This window comes from Homo sapiens, chromosome 3 (assembly GCF_000001405.40).
Source record: "Homo sapiens chromosome 3, GRCh38.p14 Primary Assembly".
Taxonomy (NCBI): domain Eukaryota; kingdom Metazoa; phylum Chordata; class Mammalia; order Primates; family Hominidae; genus Homo; species Homo sapiens.
In genome coordinates this window covers 20139502-20150527 of record NC_000003.12, presented here as the reverse complement: position 1 = coordinate 20150527, position 11026 = coordinate 20139502, and the positions used below count along the sequence as shown (strand labels likewise).

The 11026-nt window shown below is 39.1% G+C and overlaps 1 protein-coding gene across 3 annotated transcripts in view, besides 1 other annotated feature; it reads right to left on the bottom strand.

Moving 5' to 3' along the window:
• The window catches only part of KAT2B (lysine acetyltransferase 2B), a 113959-nt gene that overhangs the window by 3877 nt on the left and 99056 nt on the right, over positions 1-11026 (bottom strand). For 2 of the 3 annotated variants that reach the window (XM_047449147.1, NM_003884.5), the window contains 5 exons: positions 10164-10307; positions 4098-4212; positions 2529-2565; positions 2222-2285; positions 2041-2125 (listed from right to left, as the gene is read on the bottom strand). In XM_047449147.1, the coding sequence (XP_047305103.1) occupies positions 2041-2125; positions 2222-2285; positions 2529-2565; positions 4098-4212; positions 10164-10307 (445 nt within the window). The remainder of the gene's footprint in view (positions 1-2040; positions 2126-2221; positions 2286-2528; positions 2566-4097; positions 4213-10163; positions 10308-11026) is intronic. The other variant, XM_005265528.5, reaches the window with a different exon arrangement.
• Positions 9185-9385: a silencer, noted in NCBI's record as "peak4562 fragment used in MPRA reporter construct". NCBI's record gives its function as "represses an SCP1 promoter by STARR-seq MPRAs in K562 erythroleukemia cells {active_cell/tissue: K562}" and the evidence as "EXISTENCE:reporter gene assay evidence [ECO:0000049][PMID:32103011]".

The window sequence follows — 11026 nt, the reverse complement described above, 5'->3', positions numbered from 1 at the left end:
GGGTAAGCAGCAAAACCCTGCCTAGCCATCCATGGGTAACAAGAAGTCATGCTTGGGCCAGACTATACAGCTGATGTCCAGTGTGTGACTCCCTAAGTAAAACAGGTTAGATCCCATCCATATGAGAGAAACAGTTTTTCAGAATATGGGGAAAGAAAAGTAATGTTATTAGAAAAATCAAATAAGGAAATCGTGGGAAAATGTAAAATTACTGATTTGTCAATCTTGTCTTCAAATACAAGATAATCTTGGGGACAAGACTAAATATTTTACTCAGCATCTGAACAATACCAAGAAAAAAAATACTGCCCTACTGAAGAACACCATTTATAGCTTTAACTTTGTCCAGCACACATTTCAGCCCATCACTGGCCTTGCTCAATTAGGTCAGTTTCCCCCCTTGTGAGACTCAGCTATGCATACAGGTGGTATCCAACTGGAGAAGTTCACAACCTTCACGGGTGGGACCAAGCAAAACACTTTCAGAAAGCAGGCTGCAAGTAGGCTATGATCGACGAGATCTGCTAGACCTATCGCTGCACGTCATCAGAGTGCATGTGCACAGGGGCTGAAAGGGCCCCAAAGTCACACAGCTTCCCATGGGGGTTTCCCAAAAGAAGCTGAGATGGTCCAGAGGAAGAGGATGCAAAAATCAGTTAATTTATGGTTGGAAATGGACACAAAGAGTTTTAACATATTTTGCACATAGTGGACAATATTGATTCCCAAATCAGCCTTCCATTCAGAATTCTAGACTGAGTCAACCATACCCTTTATTTTCTTGTACTGAAATAAATAGTGGTAAGTCAGAGAGAAGAGAGAAAGAAAAGCATATAGATGTGTGTTCACTTTAAAGGGTGTAGGCTACTGAAATCATTACTACAAATATATAAAATATTCATGTGAAACATTTAAATGCTATAGAAAACACCTGTAAATAACTCAGTTTTCAAGGAGCTAATGCGTCCCTTTCACTCTTCCTTTTCACATTTTTAACACTTCCACAATTTTTTTTTTTTTTTTTTTTTTTTTGAGATACGGTCTCCCTCCAGTGCCCAGGCTGAAGTGCAGTGGTGCAATCACAGCTCACTACAGCCTCAAACTCCCAGGCTCAAGTGATCCTCCAACCTCAGCCTCCCAAGTAGCTGGGGCCTCAGGCGTGTGCCACTGCACCTGGCTAATTTTTTACTTTTTGTAGAGACAGGGTCTCACTACATTACCCAAGCTGGACTTTCACAGTTCTTAGCACCTGGAATAGATTACAGGTAGAAAAGAGACAGAAGACTCTGGCTCTCTCCAAAAATATGGCCACATAGCTGATAAAAAGAAAACATTTCAACTGGTTGTCACCCACACAATGCCAAATTAGTTTAATTTGAGCGACCTCAAATGATTCAATTAATCATTAATTTTAGAGTGGTGTGGGCACAGCACCAAACTGCACAATTCTACATTTCTGAAGACATCCTTTTTTGTTTGATTTTGGATATGAGACAAAGCGTAAAATAAAGAGTATATACAGTGACATTAACAGTACCCATCAAGGGCATGGAAAATCAAGAATTGTGGTAAGTAGAATTTCTCCCTCTGAAAGTACAGCAGTCAAGTACTTTAATCTAACTTCTTTCATTATTATCCTGAATAATTATTCAAAGGAATACCTATTTACGACAGACGCAAAGCATATCAAGAGGATAAGCTGATGTTTTTCTATTTGCACCAAAGAGTTAGAATATAAGCAAAGTTATATCTAAAGTGCCAGCTTTCAAATCTAGTGCTGTCTGCAGTTACCGTGGATTTTCTGCGTCTAGTGTCGTTAAGCTCATGTGGGCTCTAAACGACAGCTGCAGAATGTCTCTAATGAACACAGCCACCCACTTCTCTGCCATCACTGACCCGCCACGGTGCATGGAATCCCACCACCCGTCATACACTTCCTACCCTAAGCAGAGGAGTACAAATCAACCTCAGCAACCATTTGTCCCCCACACCGCCATCCAGAGTTTTAAATCTATACTTAGAAAATGTTAATGGTATTACCCATGGGGAACCTTATAACTTCATAATATCCTGGAGCTTCTGTTCTCTTCACAGGTTCCATGAAGGGCCAAGCGCTTTGATGGCTCTTGGGTAAAGAAAAAAGTAAGGTATCTAATATGGAAATTCCATGTGGGAAATCATTTCAAAATATTTGCATGAGGTGAATAAAGAGGACACCCACCTTCACCTGCTGGAGGATGCTCTTGAGCGTGCTGTAAAGCTGGTCAGGGTCTCTGGGCTCTTTACTTGAAAGGAAAAAGGGAAACAAGGAGCAATGATTAGAGTTTTACCCTATTGCCAGCTGATTACTATTCAGCTCATTCTTACAAAAACCTGAAATTGGAACCATTCCAGAATGTTTTAGGAAACTCAAAACCCACCAACTGTTGTGTTAGTGATTACAATTAGTTTGCCGTTTTTCTTTAAGTTGCTTGGTGGGGAAAAAAAAAAATCACTTCCATTAACATCCTCTTGCCCGTCATACTTACCTTTTCTCTTTTCCACTCGGTTTCCAGCCTGTCTCTCCTATACGTCAACAAAGTGAAACACTGAATGAGAAGTGCTTTTGGTCAAGAGAATAACATAGTTAATACTTATCAAAAACAAGAAATTATAGGCATGACAATAAAAGTCTACTTCTGAGAGACGACTGAAATTAATGGCAATTAGTTACTTCCTTATACCACTAACAATATAAAACATTTCCAAGACTAACAACGCTGCCCCATATGTTAGTGTTTTAAAGCAGGAACACCAACCTTTCAGTGGAGAGCATAAAAAATAAATATGTACAGTACTGTGGGCCTGTGTATTTTTTAAACTGAAAGTCAAATTTTGGGCTGATCACCCTGTAAAAGAGTTAAGCTGTTATTTTAGGTCAGAACAAACTCTGTCCTGGTCTCTGTTCTATTTGGCTAAGGCCCTGCTTGTAATGCAAGAAAGTTTAGTGTAGCAGATAGAAAACAGCCTGGAGTCTGACAGATCTGGATGTGATTTCCTGTTCTTTCCTTAAAAGGTAACTCACCCTAAATAAGAGTAAGTTGCCTCTCAGTTTATCAATCTATAAAACAGAACCCTAAAAATTAGGTGGTTTTATCCCTGTTGAGAGTAGTTAATGTACAAAAAAAAAAACAAAAACAGATAAATGCGTGGCACAAGTAGGCATTCAATGATATGGTTGCTATTATGTCATTAATAGAGATAATACATGGAAGTAGAATTTCTGGATTTAGCATAAAAGTAAGATCTGCCAGAGGGCACATGTAATAAAGTGATATATCTTGTCCAAATAACATCTTATTTTTTCTGGAAAATTTTTGCTTGTTTGATTTTGTTTATTAAAGCTTAAATATACTAAAAAGAACCTGGATTTGAACTGAACAAAATTGCCAATGATATTCAATGGCTTTTGACCTATAAAAACAACTATTTGGTATGGTTTAACCCAACACAACTCAACTCTAACATACAGACAAGAACCCTTAGGAAAACTACTGTAAAATAGGGAATATGAAACAAGGTATATGATTTCCACCACACATAACAAATAGTATTTTTTAGAAGTTTGGGGAGACTAGTCAAGCACAGATCTTGGAGGCTGCAACCATGGTGGCAATGAGACATGGTGCAAACAGTAAGGTGTTCGGCCATCAGAACTGGGCTGCTTCTAATTCTGACCGTTACTGGCTATGTGCCCTTTAACAGTAAATGATCTAACTGCTTTGGAACTCGATTTCCCCATTTATAAAATAGGATTCCCTGCTTTCAAGGTTGCATATGTGTAATAATTCGCACTGTGCTACAAATGGCAGACTCATTAAGTGGTGGATATTAACAGCTATTACAAGGGGGCATCTAAGCTCCCTTTGGTTTGTTTGTATTGGGTGGTAGGGAAGACATAAAAGGGTAACATTTGCTGCCTTCTTAAAAGACTAGAGATAACACAGAGACGGGCAGGGCAATAAAGCTTTCGAAGTTACTGCATTCTGGAAATTGTTTCAAACACAAACCACGGCATTACTAAAAAATTTCGCTTTTAAAAGAAGGTCTATACGTACTAATTCCAGGAATGCTTTCTATAGGAATCTGTCGAACTCCATCTTTAAAACATGAAAGTCCAGGGTAAACTTTTCGAATTTGTGCCTGTTTTCTTTCAATCAGTTTTTTAATTATCTGTAAAGCACAGGAAGGAAATGTGTTTAGGGAAAGAAGTCTATGGATACAGTTCAAGTCAGTCAACCTAATGAAATGTTTTCCTAACAAAACAGTCTTTTTTATGAAATAAGATGGGAGAAAGGGGTGAATGCTATTTAACAAGTAAGAAATGAACAGATTATATTATACCATGTCTATTTAGTGACATTCACAAAAACATCTTTGAGTTACTTGTCCCTGACATCCAGAAAAGCCAATATTGAGAAAACACACAGCCCCTAGGGCCCACTTGTCATCTGTAGCATAAGAGCCAATTATTTTGCCCTGCTTCTCTGAGGAGGCTCTGCCAGAATTACAGGAAAGCAGCCCTGAGCATTCACTACTCAGTCAAGTGACAGAACCTCTTCACTTCCCATAACTAGGAACTGTTCCCTTCGGACTAGAGAAGCAGGTAAACGGGCCCCAGAAAGTCCCAAAAGCCTACAGTTGTTAAAGCTTTACTATTTAAATTTTTCAAGGCTGGACCTCCAACCTATTCTGGCTGCATCAAAAAAGCAGCTCTATAATAGTAGGCTGTCATGAGAAGAAAGAAAAGAATAATGCAATTTAAAGTATCATCTATTAAAGCAACACAACCATGACATAAGCCATCACACTGACTGAGAAATTTTGAGAGATGTTTTGTTTGTTTTGTAAAATAATTATTAATATGCTGAGGTAACTACTTCCAAGACAGTGAGGTTATCCCTTTAATAAAAAAAAAAAAAAAAAAAAAAAAACTAAAAAAATCCCATCCGGAAATTAAACATATCATAACGAAATTTTGGAAAAACGAAACAAAACAATAGAAATCACTAATTGCATTCACAAAGGAAAACAAAAAAATCTACTTCCTGATTGATTTCAAACATATAGCTGGTAAATACTGCAGCATGAATATGTAATCCTAACAGTTAAACAAATAACTTCATAAAATGAATGGGACTAGTAAAAGTATATTCCTAGTAAATCTAGATCAGTGCTGTCCAATAGAGACATAATACAAGCCACGCATGTAATTTAAATTTTTCTACTAGCCGCATTTTTAAAAGGCAAAAAGAAACAGGTGAAATTGATTTTAATAATGTATTTCATTTAACCCATTATATCTAAAATGTCATTGTAACATACAATTGGAAAAAAGTGTAAGATATTTTACATTGCTTTATTCATATGAACTCTTGAAAATCAGAGGATTGGCCAGGTGCAGTGGCTCACACCTGTAATCCCAGCACTTTGGGAGGCCGAGGTGGGTGGATCACTTGAGGTGAGGAGCTCGAGACCAGCCTGGCCAACACGGTGAAACCCCATTTCTACTAAAAATACAAAAAATGGGCTGGGCATGGTAGTGCACGCCTGTAATCCCAGTTACACAGGAGGCTGGGACAGGAGAATTGCTTGAACCTGGGAGGTGGAGGTTGCAGTGAACCAAGGTTGTGCCATTGCACTCCAGTCTGGGTGACAGAGCGAGACTTCCTCTTAAAAAAAAAAAAAGAAAAAGAAAGAAATGAAAATCAGAGGATTTTATACTTACAGCATGCCTTAATTTTGACTAACCACATATCAAGTCCTCAGTAGCCACATGTGGCTAGTGACTGCTACTTTTGACAAGGCTGATCTAGATGGGTGCTTTCCATTTATTTATTTTAAGTCCATTTATTTATTATAAGTCCAAATCTTAAAAAAAAAAAAGAAAAAAGAAACCTGGCTGGGCTTGGTGGCTCACGCCTGTAATCCCAGCACTTTGGGAGGCCGAGGTGGGCAGATCACGAGGTCAGGAGATCGAGACCATCCTGGCTAACACAGTGAAACCCCTTCTCTACTAAAAATTACAAAAAATTAGCTGGGCATGGTGGCGGGTGCCTGTAGTCCCAGCTACTCGGGAGGCTGAGGAAGGAGAATGGTGCGAACCCAGGAGGCAGAGCTTGCAGTGAGCCAAGATCATGCCACTGCACTCCAGCCTGGGTGACAGAGTGAGACGCTGTCTCAAAAAAAAAAAAAAAAAAAAAAAAAAAAAAGAATCCCAAGGGCAATCTCTTAAATCGACACCTTCAGAGAATATGCTGAAGACTGTTTCAATTTGAAAGTTTCCTTCTCTTCACCAAGGGACTCTCAAATGCAATGACCTACAGATGGCTTCCACTCACCTCATGTAGCACCTTAAAGATTGTGGGCTCCTGAGAAGTGACTGTTAATGGGAATGGGAGGCGTCCTAAGCTCTCTGTACCTCTAGTAATCAGTATGGAGAAGAGATCTTTTTTAATTTATTGTTTTCATTTTAGATACAGGGGGTATTATGGGTATACTGTGTGATGCTGAGGTTTGGGCTTCTAATGATCTCACTGCCCAAGTAGTGAGCACAGTACCTGACAGGTAGTTTTTCAACCCTTACTCCTCTCCCTCTCTTGCCTCTTTTGGAAACTCCAGTGTCTACTGTTCCCATCTTTGTGAGCATATATCCCCAATGTTCAGCTCCCACTTATAACAGAAAACATGCAGTATTTTGTTTTCTGTTCCTGTGTTAATCTGCTTAGGATAATGGCCCCAGCTAAACCCACACTGTTGCAAAGGACATGATTTTGTTCTTTTTTATGGCTGCATAATATTCCATGGTGTATATGTACTACATTTTCTTTATCCAATCTACCTTTGATGGGCACCTGAATTGATTTCATGTCTTTGTTATTGTGAATAGCGCTGCAATGAACATAAAAGCACATGTATCTTTTTGTAAGAACAATTTATTTTCCTTCGGGTATATGCTCAGTAATAGGATTTCTGTGTGGAATGGTAATTCTATTTTTAATTCTTTGAGAAATCTCCAAACGGCTTTCCACAGGGGCTGAACTAATTTGCATTCCCACCAAGAGTGTATAAGCATTCCCTTTTCTCCACAGCTTTGCCAACATCTGTTATTTTTTTAACTTCTTAATAATAGCCATTCTGACTGGTGTGAGATAGTATCACATTGTGGTTTTGACTTGCATCTCAGAAAGGAGATATTTTCATTGTGTTCTAGTGTATTAACTTCACCTCCCTAGAAAATATCTTCAACTCCCTACCATGACGATAAAATCAATGCCTTCCAAATGAAAGTATGTCCTCATCTTCTTCTCCTGAAGTCCACAGCTCAGTCCTATGATCTACTGCTGTCAGTTTTAGGGTCTCCCAAAGCAGAAAATTTCAGTGGAGTAGTTCCCCATCTCCAATACATCACCCAGTCTTTGCATGTCTCCTTATAAAAAAATTGCATTGAGTCTCCCCATCCTTACTTTGGCTTCTCCAACCCCAATTCCTTGTATTGTCACATGTAGATTAAGATTTAAGAACTTATCCCCCCACCCACCACCCAGCCTATCCACACATACATGTACATAGGTATATGTACGTACACACACACACACACACAGGCACATAGATACCCAATTATGCTTGCTCATAGCCTATTCGCGCTTTCTCAAATAGTGCCTTCATCACCGACATAACAATGGTCCTACCTGTTCATGTGCCCACAAATCTGTTTCCATTGGACTCTGAGCCTCTGCTAATGCAGATTTCATCACCAGGCTGCCCAGTTCAAAACAAATGTCCCACAAAGCCCTGTCAGGTGACATGAGGCCCCTACAGATCCTACCTTTCCCTTGGAGTCAACACTCACAAAGTAGCACTTAACTCTCCACTCTTGGTCCACCTGTCCAACTATACTAGTTTTCTCTCTCTCTCTCTACTAATGACAACTACAACTTATTCTGCTCCTGTATACTTTTAGGGGCTAGGAAATGCCTCAGAATATTCACTGTTTCTTTGCTGCCACCATGAATCCCTACCTTCCTTGAGGGGTTTTTCACAGTTGGAACAAATAATACTTATAAAAAATCAACTGAATTCTGTGGAAAAAAATACTACATGAATCCAAATATATTTTTATTGAAGTGACTTCAGATAGCTTTTTTAAAAACTAGGTTAAGATCTCCAAACCTCCATCACCCATTCAACGGAATGTGTGAGGGAAGGCTGGAGGCAGAGGGGGAGGAGAGGAGAAAAAAGAATGGGGAGGGAGCCTTGGCTTCTAAAAAGTTGACTGCTTTGTTAGCCATCTAAAATAGCTCTGCGCTTCTGGCGTTCCCCTGTAGGTTTGAAGGGCCAACAGATCATGTACAATGTGAATTTGCAGACTCTGCCAAGGGAATCCTGCTCTCAGCTAACACCGTGGGGATGAATTAGTGCTGCTGGGAGGAGGAATGAGGAAAGAGCAGCTGACAGCGGGGTGATGGCTTTAGTTGGCCAGCAGCCTCTAATGCGGAACGATGTGCTGCTGAATCCAGACCTGCTCATTAAGCTCCAGAGAGAACAATGAGGAAAGCCAGCTCTTCAGAGAGACAGGGAGAGAGAGGAGCCCGCTGTGCTTTATTAACTCTTCCAAGTGCCTACTTGGAATTCTCTCTTAGGCTGACATCTTTGAACAAAAAGCAACAAAAGTTGTTTGTATTTTCCAAAAAAAAAAAAAAGCCTTTGCTCACTTCCCCAGGAAACACAAGAACAAGACTGAGCCACTTTAAGTAAAAGAAAAATACTTAATGAGTAACTACTATGCACCAGACACTGTGTAAAAAGCTTTAGGGCTGTTAGGTAGATAATGCCTAACAAAAAACTAAGAACTGGGATTAAGGAGGTTAGTAGAAACCAGAAAACAAAGATGGGTATAAGACAGATGTCCTCCTAAGCTATTTGTTAGAGAAAAGTGCACTAAACGAATAACAGAAGTATCAAGTGGAATTGACGTGGGATGACACAGCTGCAAACTCCACCCAACTGGGAGCAGCCAGGAGGTGATCCTGGACTTAACACACAAAGTTCTTTCTTTCAATAAATGGCCTTTGTGTACTCCCCAGTTCTGTTCTTTTCATCATGAGTGTTTTTTTTTTCTGCCTTAGAAAATTTGAAATTATTATGTATTCAACTCTGTCAACCTTTCCCTTTTACTGCTTCTCTTTTCATTCATATGCATAAAAAAAGTCACCTCAATACCAGATAACAAATCACTTAATACCTAGAAGGATAAGCCTTCAGAACTTGCCAAGTAAAAGCAGAGATTAATATACAGTAAGGTAAATGTCTATGTAAGATGAATAACTGAAATTCAAATAGGTGGATCAAACTGGTGCTAGAGAAGTTCAGAAGAGGAACTGGAACACACCCTGAAACGGTTTGATTTATGTGTGTGCTGAGTGAACGGGGTGGCTAATGGACAAAGACACTTTGGAGAATAGTAAATAGATGCACTTGGAGTATTTGGAGATGAAAGTAAAGAGATAAGAGTGGGAACAATAATTGAGGCCAGAATGCAAAATGGCTTGAAGGTGAAGTTAAAATATGTCACCATATTTTACATATTTTGTATTTTACATATTTTGTATTTTACACAAATTTAAAAAGTAATGACTCTTGTAGAAATGGTAACCGAGAAAGGAAACAGATCAAGGATACCTTTAAAGAAATCTATGGCCAGGAGCGATGGCTCACACCTGTAATCCCAACAATTTGGGAGGCCGAGGCAGGTGGATCACTTGAGGTCAGGAGTTCGAGACCAGCCTGGCCAACATGGTGAAACGCTGTCTCCACTAAAAATAAGAAAAATTGGCTGGGCATGGTAGCACACACCTGTAATCTTAGCTACTCGGGAGGCTGAGGTACGAGGATTGCTTGGGCCCAGGAGGCAGAGGTTACAGTGAGATAGTGCCACTGCACTCCAGTCTAGGTGACAGAGAGACTCTGTGTCAAAAAAGAGAGAGAGAAGAAATCTAGATAACCCACAGCAAACCGAGAGTTTGCTATCCAGTAAACACATACACGCAGCACCCAAGGAAATGCAACCCACCCCAGCTAAGACTGGCCTGTACAGAAGGTAAGGGAGTCAACCACCTGCTTACCTCCTTCTGCTTTTTAATGATGACAGAAAATTCTGTGTACGGGATCCGTGGATTTAGCTCACATCCCATTAAAGTGGCTCCTTCATAATCCTTGATATAGCCAACATATTTGGTTTTAGGTATTTTAATTTCTTTGGAGAAACCCTGAAAAGCAAGTAAATTCATTCATATGAACACCATACACCAAATATCTACTGAGTGCTAACTATGTTCCAGGCACTGTGTGAGGAATCAAGACAAGCTTCTTTGAAGTTCTCATTGTACTATTCTGAAGAGGATTAGCTTAAAACCACCCATGAAGTTCAAAAACACCAGAAATCTAACTGTGTAAATAGGAAGCAAGACAACATTTTTTAAATGGCCCTAATAAAATGCAAGAAATATTAAAAAGTTTAAAACAGAAACAGGTGTTAAGTAAAAATTAGGTTTAATTTTGTACTGAATTACATAATTAAATATGACCGTTGCAAATTTCTCCAAAAGTGGTGAGGGGGTCCCCAGGATTCTCAGCAAATCAATAACTAACATTGATCTAAATTATCAAAGAAAAGATGGTCAAAAAAATAAAGTGATTAGAAACTTAATGTTTCTGAGGAAATGAAATCCTTTCTTTGCAGGCAAAAAAATTCCAGACAGTCACAATGTGTGGTTGTTTCAATGACATTAATGCTTTGGAATATACTCATTTACACACTTTAAGCCATAATAACAGACTGCTTCAGAGTATATATTCAAAATTATAAATAATATATTTATAATATAAACATAATTTGCCTTAAGTATCTATTTCAGTTATTTGCAGAAAATTTCTTGAACTTCAGCACCATCGCCAGCAGTTCACTGCCTCATCTTTCAACAAAAAC